We start from the raw sequence: 21169 nt of genomic DNA, 5'->3' as shown, positions 1-21169 counted from the left end.
CAATTTTGTAGGCCTGACAGAAAGAGCAAAGACTTGGCAGAAATGATGACAAATTGATGTCACTACTTTTCTTATTAACTAGGCAGCCAATGCTGACACTTAAACAGACTCCTTGGAGAATGCTGCAAAGACAATCTTTGACCAAGTTTTTTTGTTTCTAGCAATGTTTTAGGCTAGCACCTTGTGACATTGCTCCTCAGTACTCATGGTTCTTGTTCATTTTATCTCCAGGCTCTACTCTTGGCATTAGTCCATCTGTCTCTCTCTTTCTCTCATAAGGGATGCCTGTTGAAAGACACAAAACTTTGTCCATCTCTTAGTGGAAGCACAGTGCATTCCTAATGATACTCCCCTCCCCTTTATTCTGCCCCCAGGAAAGGGAAAATGTCTTTAATCTTACGAATTAGGAGTCGCATATGGCTCCTCTGCATCTATCAATATCCAGTGCCACCCATGTCAGCCTCTTCAGACAGTCTCCTTGAATGCCTCTCTCTCAATACATGATATTAAGGACTCATTCCAGATTTCCCCTTCTCAAGGACTGGGCAATAGTGCAACTGCAATGAAAATCTCTGCAATAAAATCCTCTTCTCCTCAGCACTCTCAACTCACATATTTAATATAGATGACAGACTGACTCTAGCCGAAGTACCTCTACAAAGTCCAGTGCACCCTCATCAGCTGAATTAGCACCACGCTTTAGAATTGAGGGTACCTGGTATGGACTCAATCATTCTGTCTTTAGGCTACAGCCTAACAAGTTATTTTTGTTAACATCTTTTCATGTTAAACTGATTAATACTTTGTCGAGCTATTATGTATAATAGGAACTCTGCTAGTAACTTTACGTGTGATATCTAACCCCCATAATAAACATTTAGTGCCATGATGATTCTTTTATAAATAAAAACCAAAGATCGTGGATTTTTACATAATTAATTCAAGATCAAAACACTTGTAACTGGAATAGCTGAGATTAGTCCTCAGGGTTCCCATCTTTCCCATAAAAAATAAGGAGATTTGAAATATTATCTTTGGAAGGCTTCTTATGTGCCAGGCATTTTAGATTCTTTTACATTTGGTTACTCAGTCTTACAGCAACCAAGCAAAAATGATGATATTCTAATGTATGAAAAAAAGGAGTAATTATATTCACTTTTCAATGTCATAAGGTACAAATTGTGCAACCAGAGTGGGATAATTTTTAATATAAAATCCATGCACATTCAATTACACAATTTTGCCTTCTAGCAATTATGTCTTATTTACTTCATTACAAATCCAGCCTATTGCCTTAGGCTTCTTTGCAATTGACTACTTTTATTAATATGGGTAGGCAGAGGTTTTCTATGACATGATTCATGCAAAGCAGCAGCATTCATTAGTTTATTCACAGTACCAATAATTGATTTTGAATTCTATCAAGCACTATGAAAAGGGATAGGTATATCATAATAAAACATTCTATTGGCCTCAATTTGCTCACTCCTATAGGAGTAAGAGACATTAAAATAATTACAATGTAACGCTAAAAAGATTTGGTAGAACTTGGAACTATTATGTTGTGAAAGCACCAGGGCAGGGTGCCTTAGTAATAAAACTGATATTTGAGGTGAGATTGAGAGAAGAGAAACTATACAGGTCAGACAAGAAGGCAGAAAAGGGAATATTCAGAAAGTAATAAGGGCATGAATATGAAATTATGACTAATTTGTTATAACTGTAGCATCAAGTACATGGACAGAAGACAAGCCTGGTTTTCACAAAGGAAATAAAAAGTAAATCAATCTGACTTTTGATGAGATTTATTTTTTGTATTCTTTAATCAGCCATTTTTTTCCTTCAGTCTTTAACATATGTTTCCTGAGTTCTTGCTGGCCACCAGATATGAAATGAAAGCACAATATGACAATTCTTGTAACTGTCATGAGTGCTGTAAGAGCGTAGGAAGAGGTAGAAGATTTTTCATGTGTACAGCACCTCACTGGAATGCCTCTTTCAAAACATGGGAGTGTCTCTTGAAACATGTGAACATGGACTGGTGATTCTAGTTCTTTAAAGAAATTCATGAATAGACTTTATTTGTTGGAGTAGTTTTAAATTTATAGAAAAATTCTGCAGATAGTACAGAAAGTTTCCATATACCCTCTCTCCTCTACTATTAATACCTTGCATTAGTGTGGCGCCTTTGTCATAATTGATGAACCACTATTGATACATTATAATTAACTAAAGTCCAGGGTTAACATTAGGGTGCACAATTTGTATTTTACAGCTCTCTGGGTTTTGATGAATGCATAAGATCACATATCCAGAGGACAGTACAGAATAACTTCACAGCCCTAAAATCTCTCTCTGCTTCACCTGTTTATTCCTCTCCTTTCCCCTGAACCCATAGCAATCACTGACCTTTTCCTTTTCTAGAATACATACAGTTGGGATCATATAGTTTGTAACCTTTGCAGACTGGCTTATTTCACTTAGGAAATTTAGGAATATGTATTTAAGGTTCCTCCATGTCTTTTTGTGGCTTGATAATTTCTCTTTCTCTCTCTCTCTCTCTCACCTCTTCTTTTTTTTTTTTTTTTTTTTTTTTTTGAGATAGAGTTTCACTCTTTCACCCAGGTTGGAGTGCAGTGGCTCGATCTCAGCTCACTGCAACCTCCACTTTCCAGTTTCAAGTGATTCTCCTGCCTCAGCCTCCCAAGTAGCTGGGATTACAGGTGCCCACCATCATGCCTGGCTAATTTTTGTATTTTTAGTAGAGACAGGGTTTCATCATGTTGGCCAGGCTGGTCTCAAACTCCTGACCTCGTGATCCATCCACTTCAGTCTCCCAAAGTGCTGGGATTACAGGCGTGAGCCATCAAGCCTGGCCTCCACTCTCTTTTTTTGTTTTTTTTTTGTTTTTGTTTTTGTTTTTGTTTTTGAGACAGGGTTTCACTCTGTTGCCCAGACTGAGGGTAGAGGTGACATCACACCTCACAGTAGCCTCAACCTCTCAGGCTCAGGTGATCCTCCCACTTTAGCTTCCCAGGTAGCTGGGACTACAGGCATGTGCCACCAGGCCTGGCTAACTTTTTGCATTTTTTCTAGAGATCAGATTTCGCCATTTGCCCTAGCTGGTCTCAAACTACTAGGCCCAAGCAATTCACCCTCCTCAGCCTCTCAAAGTGCTGGGATTACAAGTGTGAGCCACCATGCCTGGCCAAAACTTGATAATTTCTTTGATTGTTCAACAGTATTCTATTATAAGGATGTACCACAATTTGTTTATCCATTCACCTATTGAAAGACATCTTGGCTGCTTCCAGTTTGAGGCAATTATGAATAAAGCTACTATAAACACTCAAGTGCAGTTTTTGTGCAGACATAAATTTTCAACTCATTTTGGTAAATATCTAAGGAGTAGCATAGCTGGAACATATGTTAAAACTCTATTTTTAGCTTTGAAAGAAACTTGTAAAGTTTCCTAAGGGGCTGTTCCATTTTGCATTCTTATCAGCAATGAGTAAACATTCCTATTGCTCTGCATCTTCATCAGAATTTGGTGTAGTCAGTTTGGAGGATTTTAGCCATTGTAATGCATGTGCAGGTGTAGCACATTGCTGTTAATTTGCAATTCGCTAATGACAAATGATGTTGGGCACCTTTTCATAGGTTTATTTGCCATTTGTATAGATTGTTTGATGAGGTGTCTGTTCAGATTTTTTGCCCATTTTTGATTGGATCATTTGTTTCTTATTATTGAATTATAAGGTGTTCTTTGTATATTTAGAATAACAGTCCTTTATCAAATATATGTTTTGCAAACATTTTCGCCCAGTCTGTGGCTCATCTTTCATTCCATTCACAGTATCTTTTTGCAGATCAGAAAATTTTAATTGTACTGAGCTCTAAGTTATCTTTTTTGTTCCTTCATAGATTGTGCTTTTGATATTGTACCTAAAAACTCATCAAAAAACTCAACATCATCTAGATTTTCACCTATGTGTGCTGACTTTAGAAGTTTTATAGATTTGCAGTTCACAAATTGATTTGGGATCCATTTTGAGTTAATTATTGTGAACAATATGAGGTCTGGGCCTAGATTAATTTTTTTCTGTACATGTCTAGTTGTTCCTTTCAAAAAAATGACTGTCCTTTCTTCATTGAATTGGCCTTGCATTTCTGTCAAAGATCAGTTGACTATATTGGTGGGGGTCTATTTCTGGGCCACCTCTTTTGTCCCCTTGATCTATTTGCCTATTATTTTGCAAATACCAATGTATTTTGGATACTATAGGTTTAAAGGAAGCGTTGATTCTTTGGAATTTTTTACGTAAACGATGACTTCTGTAGAAGAAAAACAAAACAAAACAACAACAAAAATGTGTTTCGTATTTCCCAATCTGTGTATTTTTTATTTTCCTTTTTGTTTCTTTTTTTCTTAAGATGCATTATATTTTCTATAAAATGGAATTTTATTTTATTTATTTTTTTATTATACTTTAAGTTCTGGGGTACAAGTGCAGAACGTGCAGGTTGTTATATACGTATACATGTGCCATGGTGGTTTGCTGCACCAATCAACCTGTCATCTACATTAGGTATTTTTCCCAATGCTATCCCTTCCCTAGCCCCCCAAGCCCCGACAGGCCCCAGTGTGTGATGTTCCCCTCCCTGTGTCCATGTGTTCTCATTGTTCACCTCCTGCTTATGAGTGAGAACATGCAGTGTTTGGTTTTCTGTTGTGTTAATGTGCTGAGAATGATGGTTTCCAGCTTCATCCATGTCCCTGCAAAGGACATGAACTCATCCTTTTTTATGGCTGAATAGTAGTCCATGGTGTATATGTGCCACATTTTCTTTATCTAGTTTATCATTGATGAGCATTTGGTTTGGTTCCAAGTCTTTGCTATTGTGAATAGTGCCATAATAATCATACGTGTGCATGTGTCTTTGTAGAAGAATGATTTATAATCCTTTGAGTATATACACAGTAATGAGATTGCTGAGTAAAATGGTATTTCTAGTTCTAGATCCTTGAGAAATCACCACACTGACTTCCACAATGGTTGAACTAATTTACACTCCCACCAACAGTGTAAAAGCGTTTCTATTTCTCCACATCCTCTCCAGCATCTGTTGTTTCCTCACTTTTTAATGATCGCCATTCTAAATGGTGGGAGATGGTATCTTATTGAGGTTTTGATTTGCATTTCTCTAATGACCAGCGATGATGAGCATTTTTTCATATGTTTGCTGGCTGCATAAATGTCTTCTTTTGAGAAGTGTCTGTTCGTATCCTTCACCCACATTTTGATGGTGTTTTTTTCTTATAAATTTGTTTAAGTTCTTCGTAGATTCTGGATATTAGCCCTTTGTCAGATAGAGACATTGCAAAAATTTTCTCCCATTTTGTATGTTGCCTGTTCACTCTGATGATAGTTTATTTTGGTGTGCAGAAGCTCTTTATTTTAACTAGATCCCATTTGTCTACTTTTGCTTTTGGTGATTTAGTCATGAAGTCTTTGCCCATGCCTATGTCCTGAATGGTATTGCCTAAGTTTTCTTCTAGGGTTTTTATGGTTTTAGGTCTTATGTTTAAGTCTTTAATCCATCTTAAGTTAATTTTTGTATAAGCTGTAAGGAATGGATCCAGTTTCAGCTTTCTGCATATGGCTAGCCAGTTTTCCCAACACCATTTATTAAATAGGGAATCCTTTCCCCACTGCTTGTTTTTGTCAGGTTTGTCAAAGGTCAGATGGTTGTAGATATGTGGTGTTATTTCTGAGGCCTCTGTTCTGTTCCATTGGTCTACTTATCTGTTTTGGTACCAGTACTTGCTGTTTTGATTACTGTACCCTTGTAATATAGTTTGAAGTCAGGTAGCGTGAGGCCTCCAGCTTTGTTCTTTTTGCTTAAGATTGTCTTGGCTATGTGGGCTCTTTTTTGATTCCATATGAAATTTAAAGTAGTTTTTTTCAAATTCTGTAAAGAAAATCAATGGTATTTTGATGGGGATAGTATTGAATCTATAAATTACTTTGGGCAGTATGGCCATTTTCACAATATTGATTCCTCCTATCCATGAGCATGGAATGTTCTTCCATTTGTTTGTATCCTCTCTTATTTCCTTGAGCAGTGGTTTGTAGTTCTCCTTGAGGAGGTCCTTCACATCCCTTGTAAGTTGGATTTCTAGATATTTTATTCTCGTTGTAGCAATTGTGAATGGGAGTTCACTCATGATTTGGCTCTCTGTTTGTCTGTTATTGGTGTATAGGAATGCCTATGATTTTTGCACATTGATTTTGTATCCTGAGGCTTTGCTGAAGTTGTTCATCAGGTTAAGGAGATTTGGAGATGAGACAATGGGTTTTTCCAAATATACAATCATGTCATCTGCAAACAGTGAAAATTTGACTTCCTCTTTTCCTACTTAAATGCCCTTTATTTCTTTCTCTTGCCTGACTGCCCTGGCCAGAATTTCCAATACTATGTTGAATAGGAGGAGTGAGAGAGGGCATCCTTGTCTTGTGCTGGTTTTCAAAGGGAATGCTTCCAGTTTTTGCTCATTCAGTATGATATTGGCTGTGGGTTTGTCATAAATAGCTCTTATTATTTTGAAATATGTTCCATGAATACCTAGTTTATTGAGAGTTTTTAGCATGAAAGGCTGTTGAATTTTGTCAGATGCCTTTTCTGCATCGAGATAATCATGTGGATTTGGCATTGGTTCTGTTTATGTGATGGATTATGTTTATTGATTTGTGTATGTTGAACCAGCCTTGCATCCCATGGATGAAGCCAACTTGATCACTGTGGATAAGCTTTTTGATGTGCTGCTGGATTTGGTTTGCCAGGATTTTACTGAGGATTTTCCCATCGATGTTCATTTGGGATATTAGCCTAAAATTTTCTTTCTTTGTTGTGTCTTTGCCAGGTTTTGGTGTCACGATGATGCTGATCTCAAAAAATGAGTTAGGGAGGATTCCCTCTATTTCTATTGTTTGGAATAGTTTCAGAAGAAATGGTACCAGCTCCTCTTTGTCCCTCTGGTAAAATTTGTCTCTGAATCTGTCTGGCCCTGGACTTTTTTTGGTTGGTAGGCTATTAATTACTGCCTCAATTTCAGAACTTGTTATTGGTCTATTAAGGGATTTGACTTCTCTCTGGTTTACTCTTGGGAGGGTGTATGTGTCCAGGAATTTATCCATTTTTTCTAGATTTCCTAGTTTATTTGTATAGAAGTGTTTATAGTGTTCTCTGATGGTGCTTGTTTTCTGTGGGATCAGTGGTGATATCCCCTGTATCAGTTTTTATTGTGTCTATTTGATTCTTCTCTCCTTTCTTGTTTATTAGTCTTGCTGGGGGTCTATCAATTTTTTTCATCTTTTCGAAAAACCAGCTTCTGCATTCATTGATTTTTTGAAGAGTTTTTTTTTGTGTGTCACTATCTCCTTCAGTTCCACTCTGATCTTAGTTATTTCTTGTCTTCTCTTACCTTTTGAATTTCTTTGCTCTTGATTCTCTAGTTCTTTTAATTGTGATGTTAGGGTATCAATTTTAGATCTTTCCTGCTATCTCTTGTGAGCATTTCGTGCTATAAATTTCCATCTACACATTGTTTTAAATGTGTCTCAGAGATTCTGATACATTGTGTCTTTGTTCTCATTGGTTTCAAAGAACATCTTTATTTCTGCTTTCAATTCATTATTTACCCAGTAGTCATTCAGAAACAGGTTGTTCAGTTTCCATGTAGTTGTGCAGTTTTGAGTAAGTTTCTGAATCCTGAGTTCTAATGTGATTGCACTGTGGTCTGAGAGACGGTTTGTTAAGATTTCCATTCTTTGCGTTTGCTGAGGAGTGTTTTACTTCCAATTATGTGGTCAATTTTAGAATAAGTGTGATGTGGTGCTGAGAAGCATGTATGTTCTGTTGATTTATGGTGGAGAGCTCTGTAGATGTCTATTAGGTCCACTTGGTCCAGAGCTGAGTTCCAGTACTGGATATCCTTCTTAATTTTCTGTCTTGTTGATCTGACTAGTGTTGACAGTAGGGTGTTAAAGTCTCCCACTATCATTGTGTGGGCATCTAAATCTCTCTGTAGGTCTCTTAGAACTTGCTTCATGAATCTGGGTGCTCCTGTATTGGGTGTGTATATATTTAGGATAGTTAGCTCTTCTTGTTGCATTGATACCTTTACCATTATGTAATGCTCTTGTCTCCTTTGATCTTTGTTGGTTTAAAGTCTGTTTTATCAAAGACTAGGATTGTAACCCCTGCTTTTTTTTTTTTTTTTTTTTTTGGCTTTCCATTTGCTTGGCAAATATTCCTCCATCCCTTTATTTTGAGCCTATGTGTGTCTTTGCACAGGAGATGCGTCTGCTGAATACAGCACACCGATGGGTCTTGACTCTTTATGGAATTTGCCAGTCTGTGTCTTTTAATTGAGGCATTTAGCCCATTTATATTTAAGGTTAATATTGTTATGTGTGAATTTGATCCTGTCATTTTGATGCTAGCTGGTTATTTTGCCCATTAGTAGATGCAGTTTCTTCATAGTGTTGATGGGCTTTACAATTTGGTATATTTTTGCAATGGCTGGTACCAGTTGTTTCTTTCCCTGTTTAGTGCTTCCTTCAGGAGTTCTTGTAAGGCAGGCATGGTGGTGAGAAAATCTCTCAGCATTTGCTTGTCTGTAAAGGATTTTATTTCTCCTTTGCTTATGAAGCTTAGTTTGGCTGGATATGAAATTCTGGGTTGAAAATCATTTTCTTTCAGAATGTTGAATAGTGGCCCCCACTCTCCTCTGGCTTGTAGGGTTTCTGCCGAGAGATCCACTGTTAGTCTGATGGGCTTCCCTGTGTGGGTAACCCGGCCTTTTCTTTCTGGCTTCCCTTAACATTTTTTCCTTCATTCAACCTTGGTGAATCTGAATTATGTATCTTGGGGTTGCTCTTCTCGAGGAGTATCTTTGTGGTGTTCTCCGTATTTCCTGAATTTGAATGTTGGTCTGCCTTGCTAGGTTGGGGAAGTTCTCCTGGATAATATCCTGAAAAGTGTTTTCCCATTTGGTTCCATCCTCCCCATCACTTTCAGGTACACCAATCAAATGTAGATTTGGTCTTTTCACATAGTCCCATATTTCTTGGAGGCTTTGTTCGTTTCTTTTCACTCTTTTTTCTCTAATCTTTTCTTCTCGCTTTATTTCATTGAGTTGATCTTCAAACTTTGATATCCTTTCTTCCACTTGATTGATTCAGCTATTGATACTTGTGTATGCTTCGTGAAGTTCCCATGCTGTGTTTTTCAGCTCCATCAGGTCATTTATGTCTTCTCTAAACTGGTTATTCTAGTTAGCAATTCATCTAACCTTTCTTCAAGGTTCTTAGCTTCCTTGCATTGGATTAGAACATGCTCCTTTAGCTCAGAGGAGTTTGTCGTTACCCACCTTCTGAAGCCTACTTCTGTCAATTCGTCAAACTCATTCTTCGTCCAGTTTTGTTCCCTTGCTGGTGAGGGTTTGTGATCCTTTGGAGGGGAAGAGGTGTTCTGGTTTTTGGAGTTTTTAGCCTTTTTGCGCTGGTTTCTTTCCATCTTCGTGGATTTATCTACCTTTGTTCTTTGATGTTAGTGAGCCTCGGATGGGATCTCTGAGTAGACATCCTTTTTGTTGGTGTTGTTACTATTTCTTTCTGTTTGTTAGTTTTCCTTCTAACAGGCAGGCGCCTCTTCTGCAGGTCTGCTGGTGTTTGCTGGAGGTCCACTCCAGACCCTGTTTGCCTGCATATCACCAGTGGAGACTGCAGAACAGCAAAGATTTCTGCCTGTTCCTTCCTCTGGAAGCTTTGTAACAGAGAGGCACGCGCCAGATGTAAGCAAGAACTCCCCTGTATGAGGTGTCTGTTGGCCCCTGCTGAGGGGTATCTCCCCATCAGGATACACAGGAGTCAGGGACCCACTTGAGGAGGCAGCCTGTCCCTTATCAGAGCTCAAACACTGTACTGGGAGAACCGCTGCTCGCTTAAGAGCTGTCAGGCAGTGACGTTTAAGTCTGCTGAAGCTGCGCCCACAGCCACCGCTTCCCCCAGGTGCTCTGTCCCAGAAAGATGGAGGTTTTATCTATATGTGCCTGACCGGGGCTGATGCCTTTTTTTCAGAGATGCCCTGCCCAGAGAGGAGAAAATCTAGATAGGCAGTCTGGCCCTAGTGGCCTTGCTGAACTGCTGTGGGCTCCGCCCAGTTAGAACTTCCCTGCAGCTTTGTTTACTCTGTGATAGTAAAACTGCCTACTCAAGCTTCAGCAGTGGCAGACACCCTTCCTCCCACCAAACTTCAGCATCCCAGGTCAACCTGAGACTGCTCTGCTAGCAATGAGAATTTCATGCCAGTGGATCTTAGCTTGCTGGGCTCTGTCAGGGTGGGACCCGCCAAGCCAGGCACCAAAGGGAATCTCCTGGTCTGCCAGTTGCAAAGACCATGGGAAAAGCGCAGTATCTGGGCCGGAGGGCACTGTTGCTCCCGACACAGTTGCTCCCGACACAGTCTCTCACGGCTTCCCTTTTTTCCTTTTCTTTTCTTACTGCATTTGCTAGTTCTTTTAATAATGTTGAATAGGCGTGAAAAACAGAACATACCTTTTGTCACTCTTAGAAGGAAATAATGAGTTTCTCACCATTTAGCATGATGTGAGTTATAAACCTTCTGATGATTAATGTATCAAGTTGAGGACACTTCCCTCTAATCCTAGATCACTGAGAGTTTTGATCATTAATGGATATGGATTTTTGTCAAATATTTTTCATCAACTCTTGATATGCTTGATTAAATTACTTATTTTTGCATTTGAACCAGCTATACATAGCTAGAATAAATCCCATTTGGTTGTGATATGGAGGTTTTTTTTTAATAAATTGATGGATTTGGGCCTCATAGAGCAAGTTAGAAAGTGCTTATCTCTGCTTCTGTTTTGTGAAAGAGCTTGTAAATGATTGGTATAATTTCATAAATAAATGTTTTGGGGCACTCACCAGAGAAACAATCTGGTTCTGGTTATTTCTTTATTGGGAAGTTAATTATTGATTAAACTGTTTTTAACACATATAATAATATTAAGATTATTTTTATAGTAACCAAAGTTTCAAATGATATTGCCTTTTTACTCTTTCCATCCTTTTTTTCTGATGCCCTCCAGTCTCCTCCATATTCCATTCACTTTTAGAGGAACTAGAGTGGTCTAGGCAATTTTAGAATATTTCTAAAGAGAAGATGGGCTGGTAGAGTTTGGGTGAAGTGGGATGTAGCTATCAGTCAATTTACCATTTAGTGAAGTTATTGACAGCTGTCCAGGATAGGACAAGCACCTCCCACAAGACACTGGGGACTAACATTCAACATGGGATTTGGGCAGGGGAAAATATCCAAACTATATCAGATGATATAGATGTAATTCTTTAAATTTGCATGGAAATTACACCAAATGGCTTTATAAAGTCTTTCAGTTCATCACACTATAGCTTAGAAAAATTGTGATGGTGCATTTCCTCAAGATATTAATTATATGTTGGATAGTGTTTTTATATGTTCTTATAGACAACCTAGGATATGAAATAAGCTTCCATTAAATACAGTGTTAACTGCTGGAATGCATTTAGTGAAACCAGTGCTTCTAAGAATGATGAATTGCAATGTAAAATTTGTAGTAATTATCTTAATCAATGTTTCTTTTGCTACCAATTTAATTAATTTTCTGGTTTTGACTTCCTTAAATGACCCATTAGTGTGTCCCAATGATGTTATTTCATACATGCATTTTAAACACTTGCGCTAGAAATATACTTAGAAGAAATGATTTATTTACATAAATTTCCATATGAATAGCAATACAGAATGATGTCCTCAGATAATTTCAACACTCAATTACAGTAAATAGTTCACCTAAGACGAAGGACTATTCTAGAACAAAGAAGCTAAACTGAAAAAACACCCAAATAATGCAAGAACTAAGATCAGATCTTAGTTTAGAAGGAAATTAACAAAGCTTTAGATCCATTTTTCAGACTCTAGAAAATTTGAATTTATACTCAACTTTAGATGGTATTATGGTTTATTATTAATTTTCTTAAGCACGATCTTAGTTTTGTTTTATATAGAGAGATACTTTCTCTCAAGATATGCTAAAGTAGATGATATAAAAAGATAACAATTTAAAAATTTTGAGTCTATGTAGTGAGTATGAGTGATACTTATACCCTTCTTTTTTTGTAGGATTGGAAATATGTATACTAAAAAAGCTTTGGGGAATTTTTTTTTTCACCAGGAGGTTTTTGAATCTGCATATCAGATTCATTTTTCTTTGTTTTCAATAGGTTTTGGAAATTATCAACAAGTAATTTCTCTGTCTCTGTGCTAAAATATTAAGGTTGGGAGAAAAACAGCTTAGTTCTTCGTTCTAGGAAACATCAGCTCTTGGGAGATGAGCCTGTGAGCCAACTAAAGTATCTTACTTTTCAGGACTAGCAGCTTGTGCACCAAGTCTCACTTCAAGATTTCCACCTTGGCTGGGCGTGGTGGCTCATGCCTGTGATTCCAGAACTTTGGGAAACTGAGGTGTAAGGATCCCTTGAGCTTAGGAGTTTGAGACCAGCCCGGGCAACATAGTGTGATCCAGTCTCTTCAAAAATAAAAAAAGAAAAAGTTAAAAATTGGCTAGTCAAGAGGCTAACAGGGTTTGGGGCTCACGTGAGCCCAAGGAGTTGAGGCTATAGTGAGCCATGATCATGCCATTGCGTTCCATTCTGGGTGTCAATGAAACCCTGTGAAAGAAGGAAAGAAAGAAAGAAGAAGGAAGCAAGAAAGGAAGGAAGGAAAAGAAAGAAAGAGAAAGAGAAAGAGAAAGAAAGAAAGAAAGAAAGAAAGAAAGAAAGAAAGAAAGAAAGAAAGAGAAAGAAAAATTCTACCTCAATCTCAACTAGATCTAGCTGCAGAGTAAAATAAAAAAGTTTAAAACAACTGTGTAGGTATCGGGAAATTTAAACATTATATGAATATTAGATGATATTATAATATTGTTATTCATGGGTATTATATGTGGTTCATGAAATATGTGGGAGGCTTTTTCTTTAACCTTACAACATGCTGAAATATTTTGTGGCAAATTATTATTTATTTTTAGATGGCACAGAAAAACCAATGACATATAGATAAATAAAACACAAGTAAGTATATACAGAACAAATGTGAAAATTATAGAGTGTAACTGGAAGATATACATACGTTCATTGCATTCGTTTTCAACCTTTGTATGAAAACTTTCATAATAAAAATTTTAGGAAATGTTTACACTCAAAAACTTTCTAGGAAAGCATAGCAAACTTACTACTTCCTCATTGTTAATTGTGTCTCTCAGATGGTTATTTTGAGATTCCTGCAGTTTACCAAAAATCTTGTGAATATTTTAGTTTGAGAATCTAAAGTAAGTATTTTTAATATCCTACCAAAGAGCTTTTCCAGTTTATTCAAAATCTCATTCTCAGAAATCTAAAAATAGACATTTACATTTTATATCAAATGTTCTATGTTATTCTTGAGTAGATTCTTTGGGAAAAAATGCACATACACACCTATGTTTACATACACACATACACAAACACATATACATATATATATGCATAATGACACATGTATTTAAAATTAAGCAAAACTCCCTTCTAATATTTTAAATGAGAGAAGAAAAGCAAAATAATAAACATAGCTATTTTAGCATTTAATGAAAGAAATGGTATTTTAGAAGCTTGAAAATGATAGAGTTCTCTGCTGAGGCACTCCATCAAATTCATGAATCACTGCCTCTGCTTCAAGAGTGTTATTACAATTTGAAAAGGGGAGAAAGAACAAGAAAGAAAAAGTTTTAATCCTGATCTGAAAAAAGGGAATAAAAATCATGGCATTGACATCTGAACTTTCAAACAGGTAAATGAAGGCCTGTTTTCAATTGACAGTCCCCTGACTTATATTTAGTTCAAAATTACTATTCTTGCCACTTCAAATTTCAGAGAAATTGGCAATCTGGTGTTGCAAATGCTGAAAGTGAACAAGATCGTCACAGAAAGGCAAATACCATATGTGTCAGACTTAAAATAGAAGCAATTTTATTCTGAGGCTTGGATGATAAAATATCCACTAATACTAACTTTGCTTGGCATTTACAATGCTTGATAATTCTAAGAAAATAATAATAATGTCTATGGCTTATATTTTAAACATGTTTTTTCAACATTTATTTATTATGAATGGATAATTTTATAGAGATAGAACTGTACATAAACACAGATATGTATATGTGTATGTATGTATATAAATGCATATGTTTATATATGTATGAATATATATATGCAAACCATATTTGTGTAGGCATATATGTAAAAATTATATGTGATATATGTACATTATATATATGTATGTACATATGTTCATGCACATGCACACATTATGTGTGTGTGTTTTTTTTTAGAGAAAGGGTCTTGCTATATTGTCCAGGCTGAACTTGAACTCCTGGTCTCAAACAATCCTTCAGTCTGATCCTCCTGAGTAGCTTGAACTATAAGCATGAGCCACCATACCTGGAATCATGTGTATATTTTTAAAGCTTTATTTTGTCAGGTTTCAACTTAAGAGAACAGAATCATTTTGAGTTTTTAAAACAGAATTCAAAAGGGCATTGCTTACGAAAGTAATCCAATGCTGAGAAGTCATCAGGGTGCAATCCAGAGAATAACGAGAGCAGAAAACCACTCTTAGGAGGCCCTCTAGGAGGCTAGCAGAACAAATGAAAGGGCAGAGTTATTTTCAAACACAAAACCCAATCTGGAACAAAACTAGCAAATTCTGCTTATTCTTAAACTTGCAGCCAGAAGGAAACAAACTACTGTCACTTTTGCTTCAGCAGGAATTCAAAATGTATGAGAGGACAATAGTTTCTTGGAGGAAAATGAGAAAATATTGTGATAGTTACATGTTCTATTAGGGTTTATTAGATGGAATTCATAGGAGGCCATTGTTTTGAACTGAACATTTACACTAGGCCCTAACAGACCAAACCAAACTCGAGATGCCACACAATCAAACTGAACTTTAAAACAGGCCAGTTTTAGATAAAACAGGAGATTCACAACAACCAATCAGAAGGGGCCCAATTTACCTGAGCCAAGAAGATAAGGAAGTCCCTTCTGTTTCAACCCTATGATAAAACCAATTTTGAAAGCCCAATCCACTTGTTTCTTATTCAGCTCTTTTCTGCCTCTAAAGCTGACTCCCTCTGCTTAGTTCAGTAAAGCATCTTTCCAAGTCTTTAGATGAGATGCTGCCCTCTTCATAAATCACTAAAAAAAAAAAAAATCCAATTATATCTTTCTTTTTTAGTAGATGGGATATTTGGAAATGAGGTAGACTTTCTAAATGGCTTTCAAATATGTTTAGCAGCCTTTTATTTGCTTGCTATTAATTTTTTCATGACTGGGAAATGTCCGTGATGGGCAGAAAAAGAGGTTTTCCTGTTTTTTTAAGATTATCTTAAGATATTTATCAAACTCTGGGTGGCAGGAGGCAGGAAATATCTGGGCAGTAGCAAAAGCCAGGCAGGGCTTTCTGCCTTTGTGCAAAAACATGTTGTTCTTAGTTCCCAAAGTGAGATATGCCTCAGGAAGCAGTTGGATACTGCAGTCAATGGTCCACATTGGGTCCATACGTACTGTACTGTGGGAGCCAGAGCCAGATCAAACACTCAGTTGAGGCCAGTTCAGGGAAAGGATGTGAGCATGGTGGTGTGGGTGGTGGTGAGGATGTCAAAGATAACCCAAACTGGATATCTGGTAAAACTGTAACTTGTGAAAGTAAGGAAAAGAGGTAAGCTTCATTCCGATTTTCACAGAGGTGATTTAAAGAGAAATAAAGGAGGATAAAGCGGGGAGTGATCTGGGACTCAAGAAGAGTGAGAGAAGTGAAGAATTACTAAGGGTTGGTTAGCATAAACGCAGTGAGGCCAGCAGTGTCTGCTACCTGGCAATGATCAAAGTTAGGACTTTTTCCGGGCATAAAGAGTGGAAAACACTGTCCTTTCTGACAATTACACTTCAAAGGAATGGTTTTCAGGTCCTTGAGACAGCACTCCTGAGCTGTAGGAAGTACACATAAATCTCAAATGGACACAGGAAGGATTCACAATTGTAAGCCCCTTTTAGTAAATGGTCTATTTTCTAAAAAAAGGGCCTATATCAAGTGCTAGCTAGAATAAATAGTTGTTTACACAGCCCTAAGCTTTACTAGACAGAAACTCAAAAGGAGTCTCCCCAGGGACACAGCCTTAGGCTGCTAGAAGCCAAGTTAAAGTTTGGTCAAGTCTTAGAGCAGAGGTTTGCGTAGCAACATTTCCATTGCTGTGGGATGTCACCTCCTCAGCATAAGATGGTATGGAGTAACTTAATACCAGGTGAGTCAGCCACTGACAAACTACTTCAGTCATGAAAGCTTTATTGATGGCATGCTGTGATGGTGAATAAGGCATTTTGGAAAATACAAGAATTGTTAAATTAAATTTACAGGAGGCTCTTGGTTTGGACTGAGCTCCTGCACTAGACCCTGCAGACGAAAGCAAAATGGAGTTCCTCATAATGGAGTTCCACACCAACAAGCCAAAATGAGGCTGTTTATCTGACCTTCCAAGGAATCAAGAGAAGAAATAGCCAAATCCCTAAACAGGACAGTTTAGCGAGCATGAAAAGGAAGTCCCTCCTGCTTTATTTAAGCTTTACAAAAAAAAAGTAACTGAAACAACCAATTCACTTTTTATTCTTTGTTTCCGCTTTTGTCAAATATTTTCTATCTATAAAGCCAGTCTCTGCTCAGTTCATCAGAACACTCACTACTTTATAGAATGAGGTGTTGACTGATTTTAGAGTTTCAAAGGAAAGCCAGTTAAGATCTTTAAACTAAATATTTGTAATTATGTATTTTAGCAGACATATAATGCTGTCAGAAGAAAGGTAGTGAGAAAAGGTAAATACATCAGTAGAAAGATAAATAAAGCTTCCTCCATGTTAGAAAAGTTCAATGTAATCAATTATTCATCAAATAATGGTTTTATATTGGGGTTTACCATTGGCAATAGATTGGATTCTAAGCAGTGGAATTAGCCAGATCAGGCTGTGTGAAACAAGAATCACATTTTGACCTCATTATGGCTGATGTTGTGTGGCTGTGTCTCCACTCCAACCTCACCTTGAATTGTAGCTCCCACAGTTTCCCTTGTGTCATGGGAGGGACTTGGTGGGAAGTAGTTGAATCATGGGGGCAGGTTTTTCCTGTGCTATTCTTGGGATAGTGAATAAATCCCATGAGATCTTACAGTTTTATAAATGGGAGTTCCCCTGCACACGTCCTCCTGCCTGCTGCCATGTAAGACATGCTTTTCTCCTCCTTTGCCTTCCACCATGATGGTGAGGCCTTCCCAGCCATGTAGAACTGTGAGTCCATTAAACCTCTTTTTCTTTATAAATTACCCAGTCTTGAGTATGTCTTCATTAGCAGCATGATAACTGACTAATACAATGGCTACACAAAAAAATGAACCCATCGAAGGAGTACCACAATGTCTGTTGAAAACACTGATGAAAAGCCACAGAATAGGTCTAGTTCTCCATTAGATTTGTGAAATCCTCCTCTACATTCTCTATGTTGAGCATTCACATGGGATATAAATGTCTCCACAGACCATCCATATTGTGTGAATTACTTCACATATCTAGAACCCAAAACTCCTTGTTATCAATCTTCTAGCCTTCCTTTTTTAAAAGCCTTTGATGAACAAGATACAATATTATTAACCACTGCCCGTATAGGATTATAAATCCATATACCATGAGCTACCACTTTTCCCATACAAAATAAGACAACTGGATACATCAGTTAAAGTTTAAGGAGAGTTGAAAAAAACTGTAAAATAATGCCTCTTTTACATTTATAGATTATTTGAAAAAAGTTTCATAATCATATTTATTTACATGTTATGAATTTGTTATTTTAAGTGAATTATAAATTATAAATTAAAATATTCAAAATAAATATTTTTAAGATATCTGAATTTTCTTCTTAATATGATATACAGGAACAATCAGAAAGATTTAAGCCCACTTATTTGAGTTCCTGGCCTTTCTGCTAGCAATTGTGAGTTCCTTGCTTCTAACTTCAAAGGCCTTCAATTTGTTCCTTTGGAATTATTCTTTCCTATTTTTCTATCCTATTGTTCCCTATCTGTTGTTTGCTTTTCTTTTTTTTCTGTTTCACACTTCACTTAGAATAAAGTGCAGCTCTAGCTACCTCTTTCTTTTTAGTTTCTCATAAAGTGGCATTCCTCACTCAGGATCCCTTTATACCAGTGGCTCTACATTAGGTGCTCTTTTGTTACCAAAGTGAGCATTTAACAATATCCAGATACATGATTCCTTTTCACCAATGTGGGTGTGCTACTGAGATCTAGTGAGTGGAGACTAGGGATTCTGCTAAATCCTGTAGCACATAGGACAGCCCCCAACAATAAGGATGTTTCTGGCTCATAATGTCAGAAGTGTCTGTTCTACACTTTTAAGCATCCGAGAGCCCCATTACTCGTTAAACATTTAAGAGTGCTTTCTTTGTTACAAGAATTATATATTTAGAAGGAAGAAGAGTTTACGATGATTTCTGTCTTAAGGACCACACATATGAAATACTGCAAAGGCTTGAGTTGAGCCTGAGTAAAAGAATTAGGGAGGTTCATGTGAAAATGATAGGCATGAAATCAAGTACTGATAAACAATTTGTCAGAACAGAGAGAAGAAACTATGTTCAGAAATATGTATAGGTTATCCACTGCTGCATAATACATTTTGGAAAATTCAGCAACTCAAAACAGTAGACAATTGTTATCACAACTTCTGTGAGTTCGGAATCCAAGCAATTTACTTGTTCATTATTTCAAGGTCTCTCGCGAGACTGCAATCAAGGCTTCTGCCAGGGTTACATTCCCATGTGAGGATCAACTGGAAAATAATCTGCTTTCAAACTCATGTGGTTGCTGGCAGAATTCAATTCCTTGTGGGGTGTTGGATTGAAAGCTTCAGCTTGTGTGTGGCAGCAAGCTGGAGGTCATCCTCAGTCCCTCGGTGCCTGTTGGGAGGGGGCTGCCCTTCATTCCTTGACATGTGGACCTCCGTTACACGCCTGTTTGCTTCATCAGAATATATAAGCTGAGGAGGCAATAAAGACAGCCTGCTAACAAGATGCTGTTTTCATCCTAACATAGAATAAGCACAGAAGAGTTATCTCATCGCATTTGCCATATTATTTTGGTTAGAAGCAAATTATAGAGCATAAGGTCTCACCCATGCTCAAATGGAGGATGTCACACAAGGGCATGGATCCCAGGATGCAGAGATCACTGGAGCCATTTTAGAGCCTCCTTGCAGTATAAGATATAAAGGAGTATTTGATCCAGAGAATCTCCTAAGCTATCACTTTTTGAACATTATGGAAAGGAGGTAGGAAATAAGGAATATAATTAGGTGAAATCAGCAGAACTATGCACACTGAGTTAATTGTAAGGAAGAGGATATTTCTAGTAGTTGCCAAGGATTCTATATTACATGATACATTGAATAAGATGGTCTAACATAACACTTAGAGTCAATGATACCATAAACAAACCAAAGTTTGTATCAGTAAGAAGCCTAAATGTGTTAACATACGCGTTTCAAAACTAGCTGTTATAATAGAGTATGTGTTAGCACTGACATCTATTATACATATTTTTAATCAATTATATCAGGGTTTTTTGAGATTTAGGAAAAGATACTCAACATATAATTGTTTGTGAAATACCATGTCCCTCTGCCTTAAAGAACTAACTTATGAATAAATTAAATACAACTGGAGCTACTGGAAAGATAAAAGTATATTGACTAAATATTTGTCTGTATAAGCAGGCAAGAAAATTTATACTCTGTCATTGCAAAAGCCATAATGTAACATTTTATAAAACCGGAAAAGTATATTTTACTTATATGTGAATAAGAATGCATTATGAAAGGCCTTAGGAGATAGTTACTTAGTATTATTTCTGCCAAGACTTTATTTCTACACTCTGTCTCACTAGGATCTTACCAGGGTTCTCCATCTATGATTTAAGTGGTGTGTGTTTATGATTAGTAACGAATAATCTTGCATTCATACCAGGACTGTGATCTTTCTTTATGTTTCCTTGTCTGCAGCCTTGATGTTTGATTATTCATTCCTAATCATATTTAATCATTCTTCAGCCTCTTATTTTGCCATTTAAAATCTGTTTGATATTGACGACATAGAGAAAAAAAAATATTTTCCACCATGACTCCTGCTTTAGGAACTTTATTTTTTAAAACACTAAGCTTGTGGTAATTTGTTATTGAAGCCATACAAAATTAATACCCTTGTCTTCTCTGTCTCTCCTTCAAACTCTTTCATCTATTCGACACAGAATGCCGTTTGCTGTGGTCCTTACAAAAGTGTATCTTTTTTCATCATGTTGGTAACATCTCAAAAGTTTCTTTCCAGAAAATGTTTTCCTAGCCATTCTGGATAAATAATATCTGTCTTCCAATAACCTGAAATCACAAGAATCCTGAGTGAGACTTTTCCTTTTCTTTTCCTCATAATGGAACACCCAGAAAGTACCTTACCTGTTCTGTATTTAATGCCTATCTTCCTCCACAAGAATATAAGGTCTACAGTAATAACTTTTAAATTTTTCTTATGGTAATTGACTTCAGTTACTAAAATTTTGTCCTCAATCTAGGTTACTGAAGAATGAGTAGAAATAGTTTCACTGAGAAATGTCTGTATCATGTTTGTTTGTTTGCTCTTCCTCTAAATATTGGCTTTGCTCAATAGTCAATATTGTAGGTACCAACCTCCCTGAAGATGTTTTGTGATTGTGTAGTTCCCAGCTTACTTAATTCTTTTGGTTATTGCCACTGACTCTCCAAGAAAGTTGATACTGTATTTAAGAAAAAAGATGAATAAGAAGTAATTATATGCCTTACTTTCTGAAACATTAATGAATTTTAAAATATCTCATGTAGGAAAATAATATAATTATGCTTTTCCTTAATTATAG

General features: G+C 36.8%; 1 long non-coding RNA gene across 1 annotated transcript in view, besides 1 other annotated feature; it reads left to right on the top strand.

Moving 5' to 3' along the window:
- Positions 1-21169, top strand: part of LOC124900950 (uncharacterized) — a 153441-nt gene that overhangs the window by 105798 nt on the left and 26474 nt on the right. The window lies entirely within an intron of this gene.
- Positions 9982-10182: a silencer, noted in NCBI's record as "peak5181 fragment used in MPRA reporter construct". NCBI's record gives its function as "represses an SCP1 promoter by STARR-seq MPRAs in K562 erythroleukemia cells {active_cell/tissue: K562}" and the evidence as "EXISTENCE:reporter gene assay evidence [ECO:0000049][PMID:32103011]".

This window comes from Homo sapiens, chromosome 5, assembly GCF_000001405.40.
Source record: "Homo sapiens chromosome 5, GRCh38.p14 Primary Assembly".
NCBI lineage: Eukaryota > Metazoa > Chordata > Mammalia > Primates > Hominidae > Homo > Homo sapiens.
The sequence above is the reverse complement of the archived record's forward strand: the minus strand, read 5'-3'. Positions and strand labels throughout refer to the sequence as shown.